At 43.9% G+C, this 24,565-nt stretch overlaps 3 annotated features.

The window, feature by feature from the left end:
• Nucleotides 482-1,681: an enhancer, noted in NCBI's record as "BRD4-independent group 4 enhancer chr18:73337297-73338496 (GRCh37/hg19 assembly coordinates)". NCBI's record gives its function as "activates an origin of replication core promoter dependent on BRD2, P300/CBP, MED14 and CDK7 cofactors, and independent of BRD4, by STARR-seq in HCT116 cells {active_cell/tissue: HCT116}" and the evidence as "EXISTENCE:reporter gene assay evidence [ECO:0000049][PMID:35650434]".
• Nucleotides 13,288-13,865: an enhancer, noted in NCBI's record as "H3K27ac-H3K4me1 hESC enhancer chr18:73350103-73350680 (GRCh37/hg19 assembly coordinates)". NCBI's record gives its function as "activates a minimal SCP1, AML or CMV promoter by ChIP-STARR-seq in naive H9 embryonic stem cells {active_cell/tissue: H9 hESC(naive)}" and the evidence as "EXISTENCE:reporter gene assay evidence [ECO:0000049][PMID:30033119]".
• Nucleotides 13,866-14,441: an enhancer, noted in NCBI's record as "H3K27ac-H3K4me1 hESC enhancer chr18:73350681-73351256 (GRCh37/hg19 assembly coordinates)". NCBI's record gives its function as "activates a minimal SCP1, AML or CMV promoter by ChIP-STARR-seq in naive H9 embryonic stem cells {active_cell/tissue: H9 hESC(naive)}" and the evidence as "EXISTENCE:reporter gene assay evidence [ECO:0000049][PMID:30033119]".

The following is a 24,565-nucleotide window of genomic DNA, read 5'->3' on the forward strand; positions in this document are numbered from 1 at the left end:
GTAGTGAAGCCTCCTAGGGACACATTTGCCCTTCAAATCACCACCTTTCTCTACTGAGTTATCTGGCGCTGATCTCACAAAGGGCAGAGATTGCCACATGCATGGGTGTCCTGGGTTGAATCATGTCTCGCCGCAAATTCCTGTCCACCTAGAACTTCAGAATGGGATCTGATTTGAAAACAGTCTTTGCAGAGGTGGGGACATCCTGGGTTAGGGTAGGTCCTTACTCCAGTGACTCATGTCCTTTTAAGAAAAGCAGACACAAAGACAGACAGAAGATGGCTATGCGAAGATGGAGACAGGAACTGGAGTAATGTGGCCACAAGCCAAGCTCCTGGGGCCACCAGAAGCTGGAAGAGGCAAGGAAGTTTTCTCCGCTAGAGTCTTTGGAGGGAGCAAGGCCTTGCTGATACAATGACTTTGGACTTCTGGCTTCCAGAATTGTACAAATGTGGTAATTTGTATGGCAGGCCTAGGAAAGCAATGAATGGGGCTGGTGATTTTCCTTGTTTCCAGCAGCCATTGTCTGCTTTTTGGTGTGGCATCTTGTGCCCAGTGCCAACCGCAGAGTTTAGTGTGTGCCAAGCCCTTCCCCAATGCACTAGGGGTGAGTAACAACAGCAACTCCCTGATTCCACCCCAAACCACCCAGTTCTGTGACCCCCTCCCCTCAGTCTCCCCCACTGGCTATTAAGTACCTTAATCAGAGAATTGAGCCATGTCAGACTAGAGAGATACCGATTGCACAAGGATAGAACACACTCTCAATTTCTCACTTATCAATTATCAACACCACACAGCCATCCCTACCCTTCCCCACATAACAATGGTCAGTTTATGCAACTTTCTGTTTCTGGTTTTTTCAATAGAGATAGGAAAATGCCTGGGTTCCATTCTGGGCTATGCTGTTTATAAACATTTTGTTTGCATGAGTTACCTTATCGTCTGTGCTTCCATACCCACAGCTGTAAATGGATTAAAAATAACAGTGCTGACTCCACAGTTCTACTAGGACAAAATACATGAATACACATGAAACCCTCAGAAGAATGCTTGGCACATAACAAATGCTCAATAAACATTAGGTTTCATCCTTGAAAATTTCAAGATTGTCCTTCCTCGAACTCTCTGTGGGCCTCTGGTTCTATCCTGATCACCCTCTGACAAACAAGGCTGAAAGGTATTTGTCTCTGTATTAACAAGGCCATGTCATACTTGCTGGCAGCATTACGAAAACTTCTTGGTGGATCTGGACAAGGGTTTGGCCACCCTGAATAATGAGCAATGGTTAGTCGTAGTGCCCACCTACTGCGTGTCGGGCATGACTCAGTTTCCTGTCCTGTCCTCCACTCCCAGATTTTCCTCCTGGCCAAACACTTTGGCTAAAATGAACTTGCCTCCTGCAACCAGTTCCTGGAAGGACTAACTGGCTCTGTTTGGAATGAGCTGGCCTGCATAGCAGTGTGGACAAGCTCCCAGATGTAATCATACAACAGTCTGGTTAGAGGGAAAGCTAATCAGAGGCCCACCTCTCATGTACCTGAGAGTCCTGACCCACCGTGGCAGCACCTCTAGCACTAGTCTGGGAAACAGTCCCCAGGGGTGTGGCCATGCAGTTAGAAGACAGAGCCAGCTGCCCTCCATAGCTAAGGCAGCCCACTAGTGCAATGCCCAGCCATGCTGTTGTTGAAACCTGAGCAGCTGTTTGATGAAATCTCGCCCTGCTGGTTCAGCAAGGCTCACCTCTAGGTGCAAACCTTGTGGTGAAGTTGGCTGCACCTGAAGCTCTTTATGGCCATGGGATAGGAATCCCCTCCTTGGGCAGGTCTTTAGGGAGTGTCTGACCTAGAAAGGGCTGTTCCTGCTGGGCAGCCTATTCCTGGAGCTCTGTCTTGCAAAATCACATTAGTGACCACAGGGAGATATAAGGAACTCGGTGGCTCAAGACGAACAGCCCACCAGTCCAAAGGGTGTGGACTGTGAATATAGCAAAAGACAAACAAACAAAAACCATGATGGTTTTAAGAAAGATAGATTGGGATTGGATCCAAACCCCGGGACCAGTACTTTGCCTCTTTGAGCCTTGATTTCCTTATCCATTAAGTTGGAGATGATGATATGTTTCTGCAGTGATGGAGAGGAAAGAGCTCAGTGTAAGACCCAGCACATGGAAAGCAATCTGAGACACTCTGCATCTCTCCTCCTCTATTTCTTCTCAATGCTGATGCCACCACTTCAACCGAGGCCACTTACCACCCATGGGCGCTTGGGGCTGCCTCTTACTTTCTTCCAAAGTGACAGTTTTACCTGATAGTTAGCAAGTGAGAGGTTAAACACCTCCCTACCTTCTGAGAGGAAACAGAAAAGAAGCAGAGTAGAGCTCAGGATAAGGTTCCGGGGCCAGAGGCTTTGCCTCTGTCCCCACAGCAATGAGCAGTTACTCTTGTCTCTAAGCCTCAGAGACATTTCATCTGTGAAACAGAGAGAATAATAGTATTATGTTCTAGGTGGGTTTCACAATTATTTTTGGTAACAGATACAGGGGACGAGCACAGTATCCGCCACATAGTAACTGGTCACAAAAGTAGGCAAAGATAATGATGATAAAACATGGGCCATTACTCTCACCTACCAACTCCCCAAATGTCTACTCCCAATCTGAACCTAAAGTACAGATGGAGAATTCTAGTATAAAAACTAAAACTCAACTCATGGGCCCTTCTGCTCTGCCTGCTGGGGCCTCTGCCTGTACCTGGAGAAATCTGCAGCAGAAGCTGCACCTCTGTAGTGATGATAGAGATCTCAGTGTGCACGCAGTTATGGGGCGATCTTGCTGTCCCTGACCCTGGGACTCTGAGTTCTCACACTTTTACATCTGCAGAAAGTCTGCAGCTTTCTGAGCAATGCAAGGGTGTTGCAAACTTGTAAAGGGTATGTAGCTCTGTAGGCTGCTGTTTTGACCCTAAAATGTCCACAAACTCTTAGATCTTTGTGTCCTATAAACCACTTATTACTCTGTTCTCATATTGCTATAAAGAACTACTTGAGAAGGGCAATTGATAAAGAAAAGAGGTTTAATTGGCTCATAGTTCCACACGCTGTACAGGAAGCATGGCTGGGGAGGCCTCAGGAAGCTTATAATCATGGCGGAAGGTAAAGAGGAAGCAGGCAGATCCTCATGTCTGGAGCAGGAGGAAGGAGAAGAGGGAGGTGCTACAAACTCTTTAACAACCAGATCTCATGAGAAATCACTTACTATCATGAGAACAGCAAGGAGTAAATCTGCCCTCATGATCCAATCACCTCCCACCAGGCCCCTCCTCCAATGTTGGGGATTACAATTCAACATGAGATTTGGGCAGGAATACAAATGCAGACCATATCGCCAGGTATCCCATGAACAGAGATCAGAGCTTGGTGCCTAGCCAGGCAGAATCCCCCTCTATTCACACCACCCAGGCCTTCAGGACCAGTGGGCTTGCTTCTGCATGTTTTTGCTATGTTGGGCTTCCTGGTGTCAGGATGGGCTCTGACACAGAACTTTTCCTTATAGCAAATCCAGGAGCTTTTGTCAAGTCCTTTGTTGGAGTGTCAGGCATGTTGATAATATCCACAATTTCTGCATAGTAATTTCTAATAATATCCTTAATGTGTTAGGCATTTCTACTGCTTTATCTCTCACTTCTTGGAGTTAAGCACCCTCCCTATAGAGCTTCAGAAAGAAAGTCAGTCTTTTCAATGTCATTCCCACAGTCAAGGAAGCCTTCTGCAACCTGAAGTTGATTTCATGTGAAAACCACCTTCGCATGGCCTCTGACAGAGCCTCTTCAAGGAGGGAAACTGCAGCAGACCTTTGTTACTTTTTACTTCACATCTTGGGTTACCCCATAGCACCAGCACCCAAATTTGGAAACCAATACTTATCCTTTTATTTGAAATAAAGTGTATTATACAGCTGAAAACTGGGTTGGGGACAGGGGTGTCACCTAGACTGAGGTAATCTGGTATATAGATGGTCCCTGACTTAACAATGGTTTGACTTACAATTTTTCCTCTTTATGATGGCCTGAAAGTGATTCTCATTCAATAGAAATAATTTGATTACCCATATGACCATTCTGTTTTTCACTTTTAGTACAGTATTCAATAAATTACAGTATTTGATAAATAAATAATTTCAATAAATTAAAGTATTCAACACTTTATTATAAAATGGGGTTTATGTTAGATAATTTTCTCCATTCTGGGCTATTGTGTTTTGACCATGCTTAAGGTAGGTTAGGCTAAGCTATGATGTTTGGTAGTTTAGGTGTATTCGATTCATTTTTGACTTATAATATTTTCAACTTATGGTGGGTTTATCAGGACATAACCCCATTCTAAGTCAAGGAGTATTTTTATTCTGTTTCTTTCTCCACAGTAACTGGATTCCAGATGGCTCCATGAACCAAGTTAGATCATGAAAGTCAACGAAAATCATTTCAAGGACTTCAGTAGGAGCTGTGCAGGAAGAAAAAAAAATCCAAGTTTTTCACAGGACTGGGTGCTTAAATATACGTGGAGGGAGGAAGTAGATGAATTCTTATCCAATTATTGATTAGCTGAGATTTATTTTCATCATGTAAGGATGACACAAAGTCCAGGAAGAATTATTGCTGCCCTCTTACAAGATCAAAACCTTAGATACTTGCTTTAAAAGTCTGTTTTCATGCTGCTGATAAAGACATACCCGAGACTGGGCAATTTACAAAGGAAATAAGTTTAATGGAGAATTCACAGTTCCACATGGCTGGGGAAGCCTCACAATCATGGCAGAAAGCAAGGAGGAGCAAGTCACATCTTACGTGGATGGCAGCAGGCAAACAGCTTGTGTAAGGAAACTTCTGTTTTAAAAACCATCAGATTTCATGAGACTTATTCACTATCATGAGAAAAGCATGGGAAAGACCTGCCCTCATGATTTAATTACTTCCCACTAGGTCCCTCCCACATGTGGGAATTCAAGATAAGATTTGGGTGGGGACAGAGCCAAACCATATCAATCCCCCCGGCCCCTCCCAAATCTCATGTCCTCATATTTCAAAACCAATCATGCCTCCCCAACAGTCCCCCCAAATTTTAACTCATTCCAGCATTAACTCAAAGGTCCACAGTCCAAAGTCTCATCTGAGACAAGACAAGTGCCTTCCACCTATGAGCCTGTAAAATCAAAAGCAAGTTAGTTGCTTCCTAGATATAATGGGGATACAGGTATTGGGTAAATACAGCCAATGTTTAAAATGTCAGCAACTGTGCCACACATCTTATATCTAAAGCTAACTGGGTCCCATGCTAAGTTTTGAGATCTTTGTGTTCAATTAACTGTGCTTGGCAACTTCTTAGTTGAGTAAAGTATGACAAATCTTAGCAGAACAAAATAATATAAGGAAATATATCATTAATAAGTCTACCACAAATAAACCCTTTTACAGATTTGTCTATCTGTAACCAGACTCTGACTTAGTTGATTTGTAATAATGCTTTTTTTCTTTCATAAGCCTGAATGTGATATAAAAACACTGAAGAAGTGAAAAATGAAAAATGTAGATTTTTCTCTATACTCCTGCTACATCTGTATGTTTTGGGAATACCCAGATAGACTAAGATTTTCATTTTCCTTTCAGATAATATTGCAAGTGGTTTGTTTAATCCCATATTGTACAAAAGTTTACATTTAGTTTGCAGCCCCAAATTAAACATTTTTTACTTTTTTTTGCATTTAAAAACACAAATAAGATAACTTAATTATAAATTAAATAACTTAATTTTTAAAGAGCCATTCTGTTTGAGTATGCAACTTAGCATAGGTCAAGCTGAATTTTTCCTCTTCATTGCTCCAAATGTTGATATTTTCAGAATAGATTGGGTAGCATATACATGAGAATAAATTTCTTAAGCATATAAAGGTCAATGTCATGAGAACAAAAATTGTCTACCCCACATACTGCCGGGACTGCCTGGACACTGAGGACAAAGCCACCCCTTTCTGTTTACATTACTGTGACTTTGCTATTTTCACAGCTTCATTGTCCCTTCTTTACCTTTGCAGGACTGTTCCTCCCACACAAATGGTATGATTACTCATAACAGGAACTTCCTTAAAATCCACTAACTCTTCAATGTACCGCATCATTTGGAGTCCTGAGATGCTTTCAGTCTTTTACCTCAAAATCCTCACCTTGTGATTCCCACAAATTCATGGCTATTGTATTGGGATTCTTATCCAATCTTCACCAATTTCCTGTGGCGAAAGGCCTGCTTTAAGCCAAATTTTCACCTCTCAACAAATTCTGAACTTATTTTCCTATTTCTAACATCCAAAGCTTTGCGGAGTTGGTGCCTTCCTTTACTGCAGTAAATAATGAATTCAGCCTTGTCTTATAAACAGGTCATGTTGGTCCTTTTTGGGTGTTGGTCCATATTTAGTATAGAGGTTCACTTTTTCAGATGTCCAGAGAGCCCCTCAGAGCTGGCTCCCTGACTGCCTCCCAGCCTCGTGTGCCTGGCCTGCTGGCCTCCTTGTGCTAGCAATGTGAGCCACTCAGCTTCCCTGGGACACCATGTTCTTCAATATCTCCACATCTCTGCCCATGCTGTTTCCTCTGCATACCCAGGAGTCTTCATTTATGCTTAAGTTCCAGAAAAAGCATCATTTCCCTTATGAGAACTTCGCTGATCGACTCCACCCTCAGACAGAGGTAATCATTTCCTTTTCTTTCCCACTGCTATTTTGTGCCCATGTATTTGCTATCAGATGAATACAAAACTCACTCTCACACTGTATTGTAATTACACATTTTCCTGTCCTTGAAGTACTTGAGATCTGAGTGTGTGTGTGTGTGTGTGTGTGTGTGTGTTTTAATATCTGTGTCCTTAATAGCAGGTACAGGAAGGCCACTTGGATAAGTGATTTAAGAGAAAGCAAAAACAAAAGAAATAAATGCATAAATGGAGAAACCAAGAGAAGTAGAGGCAAACAAAAGGAAAAGAGGGAATATGATTTGCCTAAAATCCAGTTTCTCCAACATTCATTGACTCATTTCATGTATCTGCCAACATACTTAGAACTTTTGCTATTTTTGTTTATTTACTCTTCATAGCAAGCCTGTGCAGTATCTACTGTACACTTTTACTTTACTCTGTTTTGCAAATAAAGCAGATATAAAACCAGGGACAGTAAAGTAAAATGTTCAAGGTCACAAATCAGTAGGTGGTTTAGTAGGGATTTCAGCCAAACAGCATTTGCACATAGGTATCTTTGTGGAGATTTCACAAAGATCAAGGTAAGTTTTCACAGATATAAGCTGCACAGCATGCTATGGAGATAAGGGAGGACCCACACACATTTATTTCCAAATTGACTATGGGATAATGAAAGAATGAAATTTGGACCATTAAAAAAAGACAACACCTAAAAATCAAAGCAACATACATACTCCAAAGAAGCACTGCATTTCTGACACAAAGAGTAGAAAGAAGGTCCCTGAGTCCCCCAGTCGGTCCAGCATTTTCACAAAGAAACAGTGAGTGCTGTACACCCAGCGCTTTTCCAATGTCAGTGCAGCAAGGTGATCCCTGGATTCTAGATTACAAGGGATCTCAATGCTCTTCAACAGCATCAACCCCCATATGTAATTTAAACCATCACCAGGGAGTGGGAGAGAAAATGCTGTCCAGATACACAGGTCTAGAATAGATGTTCTTAATGTAGGTGTAAAATTTAGGTCATCTGGAGAAATGGACACACTGCAATTCCTGCATGTATGAGATGGAGAAATTTAATTCCATAGAGCTCCTCTTGGAGATGGAAAAAGTTTGGCAAGCTGTTTGAGATCAGAGAGAGTACCCCAAGGACATGCTCATTTAATAAAACATGGTCACTAAGCTACTTTTCAAGAACGAGTCTTGCTATTTAAATAGTTCTTGGTTTTGTGAAGCACTGAGCACATTTGGTGTCTAGAAGCTATGGTTTCAAGAACTACTCCCTGGTAAGTAATCTATGCTGCCAGTTAAATGAAGGCCATATGCGTTTACCATCTGCCAAAGTGGGGTAAAACAACAGTATAAGTGCCATATGCTTAGTGCCAACTGAGTGACAGAGAAGAGGTCAGACAAAGGAATGCAGTAAGGACGGATTGCTCCAAGTGAGTGGTTTAAGTGGGACATGGGTGGACTAGAAATAAAAGTCATCCATAATGAATAGAATACTTTAGGGTGAGGTTTGGATAGCTCACACATGTCCAAGAGCTGTACATTTAATTCATGCAGTGGGTCTAGTCTGGATAACCAGTGTCTATTCTTTATGTTAAACTTGGTTCTGGAACAGTACATTACAATATCCATGTATTTATTTTGGAAGCACATAATCAAGAAAAGAGTTTGGAAATGCAATTCAATTGACCGCACATCCCACTGGTGGCTAAAAAACACACAGAACACTGTAATTGTATTTCCTAGCCCTAGAGGCCCGTGGCATGTGTTTTGGCTAAATTTCACAGTCCTGCCATGAGTAATGTCTGCAAGTTCAATATGCTACACACAAAGGGTGTGGAAAATATGTTGTAAGGTTACACATGATCATCTGCAGGTAGGCAGGGGTGCGGGTCTGGCTCTATGATGTGACGCTCTTTTGACTTTGTTATTAAGGGATAAAGTTTGGCCCTCCCATTGTATATGTAACAGTCATGACATATAACTTCTTTGTAATGCTTTGGGTCACCCCCACTGTTGTAATCATGAACATGCCCAACACATTTTCCAGAGAGTCACTTTCGTAGGATTGTCCCCACATTGAGGGAATTTCTGAATCGGTAAAAGCCATAGAGAGTGAAGAATGTCCAAGGAGGATGAATTTGGATGACAGAGGCTCAGGTCTGCTCTGTTACATAGTAACTTTAGGAGAGTTACTCATCCGCTTACCCTCATTTCTTAACCTTTAAAAGGAAGTCCACAATACACACCCTGACCACCTGCAGAAGATATTATGAGAATCAAACTAATGTCATATGTCAATGAGATTTTTAAAGCTATAAAATACAAGTCCAAAGCAAGATTCTTCAGTGCCATGTTTTTTTAAAAGAATCTAATACATTTGGTCAGATAGTTGCTCCATTAAGAAATTCTTTTGAAACAATGTTGGGTTTGATTGACTTATTTGATTGAATTGGAAGATTAACTACATTGCTTCAATGGATGTAGTTCATGTGGTCGACTAACTGTCTGGGATAAGCTGAGCAGGCATGTGATGAAATACTATCTTGCTCTTGAAGGAGCATGGCCCACCTGCACTCCACTGAGCTGCCCATCCAGACATCAGTTATTCTCTTGAGCCTCTTTTGAACTGTATTCCAGGGCTTTATATTCTCTTTCCCTACAGATGTTTCTATGGAAGGAGGAGTTGGAAGAGAGGGTACTCCAGCTACAAGATAAAAATGGTACATCTTCCTGGAGATTTAATTTTACACAAAGATTTTTAAGGGAAAAAACCACCCTACAAACATTATATTATATATACATATAAGCATACAAAACATATGACTTCATGGAATAAACACCAAAGAAATTTCATATGTAGATAAATCTGTCCAGATTGTAGAGCCCACTCCATGGTCCTATCATAACAGAGTGATGTCAGGGTATGTAACTATAAGGTTGTCCCATTTGGCCCCATCTTTGTTTGGCTGAGGCTTCCCTTCACAGAGCTTTGAGATAATAAGATAACTAATATGGTTTGGCTCTGTGCCTCACTCAAATCTCATGTGGAATTGTAATCCCAATGTTGGGGGAGGGACCTGATGGGCGGTGATTTGTTCATGGGGGCAGATTTCCTCCATGCTGTTCTCATGATAGTGAGTGAGTTCTCATGAGATCTGGTGGTTTAAAAGTGTGTGGCACTTCTCCCTTTGCTCTCTCTCTCTCTCTCTCTCTCTCTCCTGCCACCATGTGCACAAGGTGCTTGCATCCCCTTTGCCCTTCCACCATGAATGTAAGTTTCCTGAGACTTCTCCAGCCATGCTTTCTGTATAGCCTGCAGGACTGTGAGTCAATTAAACCTTTTTCCCCCCACTAAATTACCCAGTCTCAGGTTCTTTATAGCAGTGTGAGAATGGAATAATGCAATATCCAAGTCCCTTAACTTCATTTCCGGGACGTAATAATTTCCAGGACCTGGGACAGTATGTTGTCCTCTTGGGAGGGTGCCCTGGGAGTCTGTGCTGAGCACGGTCCAGGTGCTGATGGGGCCAAGACAGTAGCTTGTCTCCTTGAGTGGACACTGGAAGGCTGTGCTAGACAGGCCCAGAGCCCTGATGAGTGTCCTCAAACCTGACTCTCTGTGAGCGCATGGCTGATGATGCGAGTGACTGGTGGCTGTTTTTGGACGGCAGCATAGCCTTGTCTGTTGGGCAATGACTTGGCTTCTTTCCAGCCCCCAGGTACTCCTGGTGGAAACTCCTTTCCTCTGGAGCTCTCCCAGGCCTTCATTCTTCCCTAGGGACCACATGGTCTCTCTCACCAGCTGGCGCTGCTCTCCAGCTTCTGGGGGCAGAGGAGCCTCTCTTTGCTAGGCTGCATCTGATCCTCTCAGTCATGCAGTGCTGCCAGTCTCTCAGTGTGTCTTAGTCCATTTGTGCTGTTATAGCAAAATACCTGAGACTGAATAATTTTTAACAAATAGAAATTTATTTTCTCACAGCTCTGGAGGCTAGGACGTCCAAAGATCAAGGAACCACTAGGTTCAGCTGTCTGATGGGGATGATCTGTGCTTCCAAGATGTCGCCTTGTTGCCCTTGTTGCCCCTCTTCTGCAGGCGAGGAATGAAGAAGAGAAAGTGAGCCAAACACTGCCTGCAGCCTCTTTTTTAAGGGCCTTAATGTCATTCACGAGGCAAGACGCTCAGGTGGCCTGATCACCTCTTAAAAGCCCCACCTCCTAATACCATCAGAGAGGCCATTTAATTTCAACACCTGAATTATGGAGGGAACACATGCCAACCATTGCATTTTCTTTCTTTTTCTGTTCTGTATTCCTGGAACCGAGGAGGAGGGAAGAGGTCTTTGGGGTACAGGTGCAAGAATTTAGTGAGTGGGCTGGAGGCACATGCTAATACCTAGAAATATGATCCACAATGAGTGATGATATTTCAGAACTCCCTTTTGCAATGTTTATTAGTGTCTCTATTTGAGGATTTCTATATTTTATAATATAAAACTTCTTTACATTATTCTAAATTGTTGTTCACTTCAGCCAACATTACTGAGTAGCCTCCACAGGGTAAGTGCTGAGTGAGGGTCCCCTGGGATGACAGAGGTGGGAAGGTAGAGTCCCTGCCTAAGGGGCTGCCCCTGTGGAAGGGCATGAAGTACACATGTGAGCAGTGTATGAACAAGTGCAGTGGGACCACAAGGACTTCAGAGTCCAGGTCTGGATGGGATGCCTAGGGAACGGACAATGTCTGGAAGGGCTCCAAGGAAGAAGTGTCTTGAGATGTGGCCTAAAGTTGGGCAAGATTTCTCAGATTTCTCCAAAGTCTTTATCCCCTTTCATTTCTTCTTCTCATGAACAGCATGTAGTATCCCTGTGGATTGGCATTTGTCACCTCACATGCTTCCTTCACTCACTGCCTTCACATGCTCCCGCCACCATCCCACCTGTTCTAGGGTGCATATTTTCCTTCTAAAACAAGTCATTTCTACAGGCAGAGCCTTCTGTATCCACATAAACTTAGACTAACAGGCTTCTCTGTCTTTAGTTTTGACTGGGTGAGAATTCACTGGTTTGGCACATGGTGATCTGATTTGCTGAAGAATTCACCAGAAATGCCCATGGGCATATCACCATTGAGAGGGTAGAGGCATTGTCTCCTGTGGAGAACCACACCAGGAACATGTAAGTTCCCACACAAGCTGATTTGTGAAGTTCTCCTCCTCTTTCTCTTTCTTTCTCAATTAAATTTTATAAACCAAGCTTGGAAAAATGTTTCAAGCTAAGTAGCAGTAAGTGTTTTTGAATGATGTCATTGATGATTGGGGTCTCTGAAATCTAGGACTCTAGTTCTACTCCCAGTATCCCAGAAGAGGAGTGAGCAGCACACAGTGCACGGTGGGCTCTGCGGGCTGAGGCTGGCGAGTCCCGGGGCCGTGTCTCACGACACGCAGACATGCAGCATGGACGGCGTTCTGAGCAGATGCGAAGTTCCAGGCAGTGGAAGAATTCCCCTGCTCAGGACTCACTCCCCAGGGGGATGTCCATGAACATTGTGCACGGGAGCAAGAAAAACCTGAGAGGGAAGTGGTATGTTGCTCAATGCGATCCTCATGGTCAGCCTGGGGCAGAAGCCCCTCCTCAGAGGGCACTGCGAGGGCCCCTGCGTCAGGAGCCGAGCTGTGGCTCACGGGTCTGATGATGCAGTTGTGATCCATGGGTGCGTGGACGGCTTGCTGCGGGGTTTCCTCGTGCAGCAGGAATCGACAGGGAAGGGTCAGAGACCAGCTGTCGCGCCTTCGAGACCTTGCTGTGAGGCCTCAGGCTACGTGCATCAGGAACTTTCCTGGCCTTATTTCTCTTACGATTTTTTCCCTTAACTTTATTGTCCCCAGCGTTTTCCTAACTGCTTGATAACTAACCAAAAAAAAAAAAAAATCACTTTAGATCATTTCTAATTTCCACCCGTATGAAGTCTAGGCCATGAAAATTCAAACCTACATTTGCTTGGGATGGCAAAGCTGTAGTAAATTATGTAGATTTAAAAAACAAAAGGAATTTAACAAAACAGCCTGTATTTGCTTTCTTGAATTGTGAAGACTATCATTTACTATTAGTTTGGAAATATACCCTGATTGCTTTAGTCCTAGAACATTTCAGATCTATGTCAGTTTCAGCCTTTAATGACTATAGAACAGGAGAGCCATTTTGTGCACACATGCTCCATCAACGTGCAGAATTTTCTAATGCACCCAAGGGTTATGGATGTGTATTTTTTAAGTACAACTACAGGCTACTCCTCAGAGACAAGTATTTTATATCCTTGGCTTGATATGTGTTAGAAAGATACATATTTTTAAAAGACATAAATATAGTTGAGAATTCTATATTTTTATGCTAAGGCTGTCCTGGAGCAAGACTCAGGATGATAATGTGGAAGTTATAATAATATAAGCAATAGTACTAGCCCTGACACTTATTTCCAAAATCAAGATGGCATTAATTTCTATCAGGCCTTTGAAAACTTTAGGATATTTATATTTCACAGCCCAGGAACATCTGCCACTCAGATAAGAAAAAGGTGCAGATTCTTTTGACATAGAGAAAATCACGGCCTTTTTTAAAAAATCAATGAACAGAGACAGGATACAGAGAAAGGAAGTTATAATATCCAAGAAAAACGAACACTTTGTATCTGGCTGCACAGAAAGATCTGGACAAAATATGAAATCCCCTGGCTGCCGACAGGAGCAGAATTCCTCGAGTTACTCACTTTCCAGGGCTCGTTTCAGTAGTCAGAGGACCGATGAGTAAGAGTAATTCTCTTTTAAGAAATTCCAAAGCATGCAACTTAGCTGAGGTGACAGCAGCTGTTGAGGAATGAGGCATGGGCTCTTTTTCAGCTGTTGGAGGTGGCAAAAATGCATTTCGTACATGTCATCTACACACCCCGTCAACACCCATGCCGTGCATGGAGCTCGTCATTTCACCAGGAGCGGCGAAACCCACTGCCCTCCCTGGGCCCCCTTGCCCTGTGTCTCCCCAGCATTCCTGGGGTTTCCAGGCTGCACCCCGCTCTGCAGCTCATGCCTGTGTGCATCATGTGGACGGCTCGACAGGGAGAGTGAGGGAAAGAAAAAAAAAAGCATTTGGCTGGCGGTCAGCGCAGCAGGAGCAGTTGCAGATGCTGCTATTTACACCATTTTCACATTCTGGAGAACAAAGAGCGGGAGGCTGCCAGCAAATCTCAGGAACTCAGCCTTGCCCCGCACAGCAGCTCAGCCAGTTCAGAAGCGCGGGACAGACAGGCCATGGCGGCACAGACACGGGGCATCTCTATCCTAATGGTGCACTCTGCCAGCCACCTCTGCGCGAGGCCCAGGGAGGAAGGACGGCAGGACTCTCCACTTGTCACTGCTTCAAATCTTCTTTGGGAGAGACAGTGCTGGAAGCGCCGGCTCTCGCCCAGCCCGGATGAGAGCACTGGGACAGATTGATGACCTCAGCCCTCATCGCTCCTTTGAATTGTAGATGCACCGAGTGGGCCTCTCCTCAGTCCTGCACTGAGCGCCTGTTGTCGGGGCTGCATCTTGCTCCCTGTGAAACCCAGGGCAACGTAGAGAGACAAAAGTTATTTATTTTGGGACCAGATTAGCACAAATTAATTCCTGGACCAAATCCAAGAGAGCCTGTGCAAGAGACCGGGAGGAGGAACGGGGCTATTACTCACCATCAATGGCACTATTTTGAGGACACGTGCTATATTTAGCCCAACGATAGCACATCCTAGGAGACTGGTATATTATCACGAAACCTAGAAGCTGCCTGGTTGCGAAACACTCACCAAAGTGGAACCATCTCAGCTAGACTGGAGAGACGAATGGGGGTCCTGGGAATTGTGTTGGGTCCTACTCACCAGTCATATCACTGGGCAGAGCCCGTTTGCTTTCCCGGTTAGGAGATCTGTTGAAAGCATTGCAATAAAAGTTATTTAAGTCACATAGTCTTTAATCTTCCAGCACAATATTGCGCCCATGCCAGCAATGAATCATATCGCATTGTTATGCCTTTTTATAGTCTGATAATCTGTATTGTGTGTTTATAACCCTTGTATGCTGTATTTTATGAGGGGAAAAATTTCTACAACTCGCAATCCACAACCCATGAATTTACCACCTTAACTACTTGGGTTGATGGTGAGACGTGGAAGAAAGATTCAAACGCACAGAGTTGAAAGTTGTCTCTACATCAGAGACTTAGCTCTCTACTTGCAGAGAGTGGCCAGCAAGGGGTGGTGGAGCACGGGTCTCCTGCGAGTACAAGCCCAGGGTATGGATCAGCTGAGGTCCTCCTGCCTGGCAACTTTAGAGTTCTTCCAAGACCCCAGAGTGCTGGCCTGTCCCTTCTTGTCCCTCCTGCTCTGCTGTAAAATGGTGACTGGGAAGAGCCTGGTGTTCCATGCCCAGCATTGGGTATATTCTGGTGACCTGACCATCATTCGTCCCTGCTCCCTGCTCCTAGGAGGCCTCGTGAAGCCATCCTTGGAAACCTTGGCCTAGTCTGGGCCTCCTCGGCCAGCCTCCCTGAATAAACGTGAGAAGGCTAGCAAGTCAACCACTAACTAACTCGCTTCCTATAAGTCTCTTCTCCCAGGGTTTGGGTTTTTGCCTGCTGATGCTCTGATGCTGACAACCACTAGCCCCACTCCCCCACCCATCCCAGAAGCCCATGGATGGAGGTTTTGCATTTTTGGTTATGAACCCCAGTTTGGATCAGTCTATTTTCCCTAGACTCGGCCTCACAGTGGTCTTGGCTTGGCCTCAGCTCTCCTTTCTGGAACATTGTCCCAGCATAAAGCTGCTAAATCATGGGCCCCACCACGATCCTCCGCCCAGGACTCCACAACCACTGCTGCCTCTGATTGGTGTCCTTCTTCTCTTTCCTTCCACTTAAACCTTACAGAGAAATATTCACCACCACAGAACACTGTGGTTGTTTTGTGCACTAAGGACAGTGCTCATATCCATTCACCTATAGATGCATTTGTCCAGTTTTATTCATTATCCATGGAGCCGTCGCTGTGTTGCAGAAACCCTGCTATGCATCCAGTAGTTGACGTGAATGGTAAGATGTGGGCCCCGTAGTCCTGCAGGGCAAGCACAGCACATGTGATGGGGTGCATTCGTGGAAGTGGCAGATGCAGGCAATTCAAGGGAATCTGGTGTCTGACAGAGGAGGCTTTAACTACAGATAACAGTCCTCCAAACTGAAAGGGACTCAAGAAATGGGGGTTATGATCCCACCTTATAAGGAATCAGTAAACAAACAGTGTGAGGGTTGGCTCAGGAGCGCAACAATGCTGTCAGGGACCGAGTTTTTCTTTCCTTCCCTGCACTCAGCAATCTCCACCTGGTTAGCTTGGCCCTTAGGCTTGTCAGCTTTGGTCACAAAGTGGCCATCATGGCTTAAGCATCCTGTGCTCCTGTAGCCGTGTTCAAAAGGGGAAGGAGGGCACTTTGTTCTGAGGATGCTTTCCTGATTGTGAGACAAGAAAAACATCTCCAGGGGCTCCCCACACATGTCAACTCAGGCCTCCACAGCCAGGGTTAGAACAGATCCCCATGTTTCTAACATGACCACAAGGTAGGCTTGCTCCCGTGGCTCTGACAGCTGAGACTGCTTCATAGGGGACTGTCCCAGGCATTTGATGGGCAGAAGGCAGGGAACATTGGTGTGTGTATGTATGTGTGTGTGTGCATGTATGCGTGTGCACACGTGTGTGTGTGTGTGTGTGTGCTTGAGGAAACAGGATCTGTAGGGGAAACTCAAGAAGTGTGGGTGTAGCAGCCTCCCAAGTTTTGCAGCCACACCCGCAGCTGTGGAAGGAAGAGAGGAAGCATCTGGGGAGTCTCCAGGACTGACAGCGGGTTGTCTAGATGAGGAAGAAGCTCTCAACTGCCTAGTGCTGGGGCACATAATTTGGTAAGCCCCTTCATGTTATGTTGCCTTTCTCCCTTTTGTCAGCTCTAAAATGGAGTTAGTGGAGCAGAGATGAACTGAGGGACAGCAGTGAATTTTTGTGCTGCTTTTATTGGTTAAAAGTAGATTAAAGTACATATTCTTCTCTACTCACCCAACTCCCTAACTCCTCCATCGACTACCTGAATACGTGCCATTTAATTGATTTATTAGTTTTTGAAAGTCATCTTACTGTTTTTATAAAAATGATATCCTGCTTACTGTAAAACTTTCAAAAAATACAATATAGGACATAAAATAATATTAGGAGCAACTTAAATCTAACCAGTTACTTTCAACATTTTGGTGGATATCATTTAAGAAATCTCCATCTATGTATCTATACATAGAAATGGATTGATTCAATGAACACATATTTATTGATCACCTATCATGATCAGGCACCATAAAGCTCTGGGAATAAAGTTGCAAGCAAAGCCACACACAGCATAGGTCCTGCTCTCATGAAGTAACCCGGTCTTCACAGGAGACATATGTTAATCAGCTAATTACTAACATGTGGCTATCATTAAAAAGTAAATTAAGAGCCACAAGAAATGGGGGATGTTCCACGGCAACACAAAACAATATTATCTAAGCTAGGGTTGAGATCAAAGGAGAAGGGAAGCTAGCTGGGTAGATGGGGAGGCACAGCCTCTAAGGGAAGGGAAAATATGCACTAAGGCACATGGCAGGTGGGAGCTGGCCAAGGCTGGAGCCTGGAGAAAAGGCAGAGAGGCTGGAGTAGACCCAGCAAGGGGCAGAGGAGTGGAAAATGAGGCTGGAAATTGGACAATGGCAAGGCCAGTCAGGGCTCTCCAGGATTGTGACGTTTAAGCAATAGGAAGACGTCAAGCTATTCTAAGCATACAGGGAGGGTGGAGGCAGGCACAATGCAGACAAAGGCAGGTGATGATGACATTGTAGGATTTGGAAGCTGATGGTAGAAATGAGAACCAATGACAGATGCAAGATACATGGGAAGAAAAATGGGCAGACGTGGTAGCATATTGGAGAGGAGGTGTTAAAAGTCATCCGTGTGCTGACTTGAACAACTGCATGGCCGGTGGGTCATATGCCAACAGGAAATGCATGAAGACCGGGTTTGTAGGCAGAAGCTGAGAAGTGCACTCAGGGCTTGTTCCAGGGGCCCTCTGCTTCCAAGTGGCGTGGCCATGTGACAGCCGGATTGGGGGACTGGAGCTCTGAGGAATAGTTTGTGCTGGAGTTAGATGATATTTAAAAATTATTAGTAGCTATTCAAGCCTCAGGCTAGGTATGATTGCTGAGAAGGAGCAGATATAAAAAGACGGTCTTGTGAAGAACTCAAACATTTAGTAGCCAACTAGGGAAACCCAAGCCTGACAGCAGGCTGCGGAGTGGACAGGAGGAAAAGGAGAACCCAGGGAGGAGGGTCCCCAGAAGCCACGTGGGTAGAGGGGAGAGGTGGCCTCAGAAAGGGGCGTGTGGCAACATTGCCAAACATTGCTGGAGGACAGCAAGAAGAGCCCAGTGAACACTGTCCTTTGTGCTTAGTGACATGGGGGTTATTGGCATAGAAGAGTGTTAGGAAGTGAGCCAGGTGACCAAGACTGCTGTGTGCAGCGGTCACTGGCAGATTGGGAGATGCCATAGACTCAGCTGTCCTTGCCCTAAGCTTTGCTTCCTTGCACAGTTCTGCAGGTGGACCAGGTCACGTGACTGCACTCCTCTGCCCCTCGCCCTCCTGTCTTTCAGAGGAAAAGTGAAGATCCCTTTGTCGTTCACCAGGCCTCCAAGAACTGGCCACGGAGGGCAGTGACCTCTCAGCCTTCACTTTCTTCTGCTCCTCCCTCACCCCTCAGCTCCAGCCTCGCTGGTCCCCGGCTCTTCCTTGGTGGTGCCAGGGATGCTCCTTCCTTGGGGCTTGCCCTGGTGTTTCCTCCACCTGGAATGTGCCCCTCACAGATGGCTGCAAGGCCAAGCCCTCCTCCTTCAGTCTCTGCTCCATCATCAGCTTCCCAGTGAGCCTGCCCCGACCTTCTCATCCAGAAGGGCAACCTGCGCCTCACCGCACGCCTGGCTCCCTCACCTGCTGCTGCTCTCCATGGTGAACATCACCTTCTGACTAATACACTGTCTAGGCCTATTGTTTCTATGGTTATCATTTCTAGTTTGTCCTCCCAACTAAACATTAAGCTCCATGAGAGCAGGACTTGTGTCTAAACAGTGTCTGGTGCATGGTGGGCACACAACACATATTAGTTTAATAGTAAATCTAAGAAGCAAATGGCTTACTTTTCCTCAAAAGTCAAGACCAAGAAGGTTCATTTTTGCTATGAATTATGAAGCATGCAAAAGGTGCTCCAGTTCATTCAACTTATCTGAAGGCAATTGAGTGAGATCAAACAAATTGCAAAATGTACTTGTCTTTGACTCTGCACCCAACTTCTAGGATTCAGCTCAGAGGAAATAACTGCTTAGGGCCACATAAATGCTTGTGTGAGGATGAGCATTGTGGTGCTGTTTATAATAGTGAAAATATGGTGGGGAAATCGACCATTAGGAGACTGGCTATATACAGTGCAGTATACAGAACAGGGATACAATGAGATGTTTGGTAAGAATTAAAATGTATGGTGCCTTGAATCGGGGTAGTGACAATGGGGGTGGTAAGGAGGAGTTAAACACAGGATGCATGTGTGCACATGTATAAATATCTATATAAATGCACTCTCTATACAATATCTATATAAATACATGTATACGTAATATGCAGTAGATGTGCAATCCATATATGTAACATGTAATATATATCCAATCAATAAGTATATCATGTAATATATAATACTAATATGCAATATATATAAAAATTCATATGTGTGTAATACATAAATAATTCATGTACTGTTGTATTATAGAAATCATGGTGAAATATATATAGAGAGAGATTGGGTATGGGACATGAGGAAAGAGGAGTGGAAGAAGACTCCGTGAGTTTTGATCTGGGTGACTCATAAAGCAGGCATGGTATCAAATGGGAAGCGGAATTGCCAAGGGAATGTGCTTGGATTGGGAAGCTCAGAATCTCAGTTTAGACGTGCTAAATTTGCAATGTCTAGTAGACGTATGTTGCAGGTTGAATAGTGTCCCCAGGAAGACACATTCAAGGCCTTATTGCAGGTGCCTGTGGATTGGTCTTCTTTTGAAGCAGGGCCTTGCAGCTGTCATTAAGTTAAAGGAAGACATACTTGATGAGGGTGGGTGGGCCCTCGCCTAATGTTACTGGTGTCCTTATACAAGGCAGGAATGCCTAGAAGGTGAGGAAGAACAGAGAAAAGCTATGTGGCAATTGAGGCAGAGAGTGGAGTGATGTCTACAGGCAGGGCACATCCAGGGTTGCCAGCAACTTCAGAAGTTGGGAGAGACGTATGGGGCAGATCCTTCTCAAGAGCCCTTGGGTGAGGGTGGCCCTGCCAACAGCTTGATTTCAGGCTTTTGCTCTCCAGGTGGTGAGAGAAAAAAATCTCTGTTGTTTTAAGCCACTTGGTTGGCAGTAATTTGTCATGGCAGCTTTCGGACACTCGGGCGACACCAAGTGTGGATGGGTATCAAGGAGGCAGCTGCGTGTATAATTCAGGAGCCCAGGAGAGTTCTGGATGTATTTAAAGCTGATGTGTGAAGTCGTGAGACTGGGGACCATCCAGGCTGCAAGAGAAGATAGAGAACGGGGGAGAGGGACTGGGCCCTGGCATCCAGGAGGCCGAGGTAGATGAGGACTGGGTTGAGATTTAGACATCACCAGGTGGAGTCGTTGTGGCCCCGGGGAGAGCAGGGGCCATGGAGGGGTGGGGATGTTGAGCTGACTGCGGTGTATCCAAAAATGAATGTGGGAGGTCTATCTGGGTGGGAAGCACAGACAATTATGTCACAGAGTTTTGCTGCAAAAGGCAGAAGAGTTAATGGGGCAGAGGCAGGTGGGGAGGTGTGGACAAGAGGAAGTCATTGTTGGTTTTGTTTTGAATGGGAGAAATAATGGCATGCTGTCGTGTTTGGGGGAAGGACACAGAAGAATGAGGAGGATTCCGGCACTGGAGTGTTGCCCTGAGTAGGCAAGGGAGCACACGTCCAGTTGAGAAGCAGAGGACAGGTTTGAACGGGGGCATGGAGCCGGCACCTCCCAAGCAGCCAGGTGCAGGTGCTGGAGGGCGAGTGGGTGCTGGGGAGAGTCTGCGCATGAGCTCCTCCGGCCGCTTCAATTTCTCAGTGGAGCAAGAAACAAGGTCATTGCTGAGAGAATGGAAGAGGAGGTGTTGAAAGTTTGTGGAGGGAGGAAGGTGTGAAATAATTGTCTGGAAGACTTAATTTGCCTTTCAATTAATGTGCAAAGGATTTTTTTCTAATTATATGAAATTCAAAATAGAAAAAAGTACAGGGACAATATAATAAACACCCATAATACAATATAATAAGCGTTAAGAAAGGCTAAAATTTTGTCGTATTTGCCCCAGATACATGTCAGCCATAAAATAGCAGAAATGAAATTGAGCTATCAGAATTTAAAGTTAATTATTTATTTCCTCTTCTTCTGAACAAGATGAAGAAACTTAGAAAGCTTTAACTCTTAGCTGCCATCTTTCCTCTCTCATAGTTTTGCTTTCAGTATTTTAGTTCTATCTTATGTTTACTGTGTCAGATTAGATATCATTATTTTTTACTGTCAATATTTATTTAGATTTGTCAATATGTTGACCAATTTATTTGTGTGCCTCTGCTGTATGCATTTCTCTTCATTATTTGGATTCAATTTCACACTGCCTGAAGTTCATCCTTTAGTAGTTCTTTCAGTGAGTCTGTGAGTAGTAGAATGTCTTAGTCTTTGCATGTGTGAAAATGTTTCTCCTTAATTTATATAATATTTTAGGTGGGTACAGAATTTTAAGTTGGCATATTTTTCTAATAGCACTTTAAAAATACTATTCCATTTTCTAGTGTATCTTATACCTTGTAAATATTTTGTAAATTAAATTTGCTCTTTCATGGTATTCTAATTACCTTAAGCCTTTCTTTTCCTTTTCTCTTCCTCTCTCATGCTTCATTTTTCTTTCTTTCTTTCTTTCCTTCATTTAGTGTGTAAGTGCCTTCTGAGATGGACATAGGGACATAAAGGTAAGTCCTCGTCCATTCTGCTTTCCATGAAGTGTGATGCTAATAAGAACAATGATAATACAAAAAGGGGAAAGGATTCTTTTAACTGTAGATGTGTAATTTTTCTTGTGTGGCCAATATTCTCTGAGAAATGTCATAATATATAAGACAATCTATGAATTGTTTTAGGAATTCATATGAGTTGTCTAGTGGTTAATATATGCCAGGCATTTTATTAGGCACTTCGGAAACAACACATGAAACAAACCTGGTTCTGCTTTCAGAACTCTTTCAGTCTAACAGGAGAAACATACTTAAAAAAAAAAGCTCAAAATACTTGGAAATCATGGTCCTTGGGCAGGAAAAATAAAATGATGGAATGGAGACAGACGAATTAGGGGTGGCTGCCCCTAGGTGAGCATCAACAGGAGTCTGTGGACACGGTGGTGCAGGAAGGCTCTAAGAAACCGGGAAGATGAGGAGAATCCACCTCTGAGGAGAACAGGGGAAGGTCATTCTAGATGCCTTGGCTCTATGATCTGAGAAATATGGAGGTTTAACCACCCCAATTATTTTTTTCTCATCAAAACAGTGTATGTATTACTAGAAAGCTTTATAAATTTCAGCCCAATAGCCAATATGTTGGAAGGTGTACACTGGTTTCATAAAATTCTCACTTGCTTCATGAAAAGCACCTCATCTTTCCATAGGGGTAAAAAGCACGTGAAGTTATAGTGAAGTTAGAGAGGTCTCCAAATCAGCCTTCCTCCCTCCAGCCATCTTTCCCTTCATCCTTGATTTCCTTCCTAACCCTCTCTCTAATCTCCTTCCTCCCTCCCTACCAGTGCCCTCTTTCTCCCTCCCTTTCTTCCTTGGCTTGGTTTCTTAGAACACGATTCCAGGAATGCAAGGGAAGGGACGGCGTTTGCCTTGTTCTGCTTTTTTTCCTAAGCTGGGCCCTAGGCAAGTGCTAAAGAGAAACTCTTTTCCTGCACTCTCCTCCATTTGCCTGTACTCTCCTTCCCTTCTCCTCCTTGTGCTGCTCTACTTTTCTTCTTTCTTTTTCGTTGTGATTCATTCATTTATTATACATACATAGACTGTTTCAAAAAAGAATTAGAAGCAGTCTCTTTTCTTATTAAATTTTCCTTCCAACCATTTTCCTTCTTTCCTTCTTCCTACTACCCAAATCATGTCCCTCTGGCAGGACAATGCCAAGATAATTAAAGAATGCTGGTTCCTGAGCATTTCACTAAAATTGCCTTCTAGAAAATAGAACTCCCTGTATATTCAATGAGATTGTGTGAGAAAATAACTCATCTTATGGCTCAGCTGTTTCAGGGTTCAGATTCAATTTGGCTATCCATCCAAAAGTTGGGATTTTTAATAAAAGCTTTTTACAAACCACTTGGGTATTCAAAAGTTTAATACATAACAAACAATAAAAATCATACTTGGAAATACGGGAGAGTAAAAATGCTACAAATATTCATGTTCATACATAATCTGTACTCCCTAGGACTTGGTATTGAAATTTGGAAAACCCATTGTAAATTCCATTAAGCACATCATATTTGCCTATGCAGTTGTTGTCAGAGCAAGATTTGGAGAAAATTTGAATTTTTTCATAGTTTAAGTATCCCACATGCTTTCCCTGCTCTGTGCTGAGCTAAAAAGTTTGACATGCTCCCTTAGGTAAGGAGGAAGGGCGAACTTTTTAAAGATGTTTTGAAATAGTGATGGAGTAATAGCAGGAACCCTGGTTAGCGTCACATGTATCTCCGCTCCTGCCTCTTTCAGGTACCCTGAGCCAGTGGTTCATGTCCCTGGCTATCTGTTTCCTCTGTACTATGAGAATAATAACAACTTCCACAAATTTTGTTGTGGTGATTAAGTGATAATGTACACTAAAATGCCTTAAAACCTGTAGAGTTTGTCCAAAAAGACTTCATTTATTATGTATTTAACTATCTTTTGTGACTGCCAAGTAGAAGTAGAGGGAGATGGACACATAACCAAGTACGTCTTGTGTTCTTATGTGTGTGTGTGCATGTGTGTGTGTGTGTGTGTGTGTGTGTGGGTGTGTATCTAAGAAGTCTAAGCAGTGTGCAGAATGGCATGAGAAGGGCCATTATAATTTTTAGTCATCCTGATATTCCCTGTAAACATCCTAGAATACCTTTGGGCATTGTTGCCCTATGTTGCCATTCCTCTTCATTCGTTCATTTGTGTACAACTATTCATTGAATATTGTTATGTATTAGGTACTACTCCAGGCAAAGATCAAAACCCCTGACCTGGTTGAATTTTCTTTCTAGCAGAGAAGGGGCAGGTGGGGATGGAAGACCAAATTGTGTAGAGGCCTCTTGTCCTGCCTTTTCTGAGGATGTGCACGAGGGAAGGGAAGAGAGATAAGGCCTTCAAAAGAAGCCAGAGAAGATAAGAGTGTTTCCCAGGCAGAGAGGAGGTGAAGCCTTGTGCAGCCACAGAGAGTCATGGCTGGTTATCTCCTGGGTTCCTTGCATTACTCCAGGAAGGTGGTAAGAACTCAGGGTGGTGGTGGTTAGGCTCTGGATGCTAGGTTTCTCAAACTTCTTGAAGTGTCCTGTGTCCCTGCTGTGCCCAGAAGCAACAAAGTAAAGCATTCTGAAGGAATGCATCAGCCGGTCATTGCATCTCT

Source organism: Homo sapiens, chromosome 18, assembly GCF_000001405.40.
Source record: "Homo sapiens chromosome 18, GRCh38.p14 Primary Assembly".
Lineage (NCBI taxonomy): Eukaryota > Metazoa > Chordata > Mammalia > Primates > Hominidae > Homo > Homo sapiens.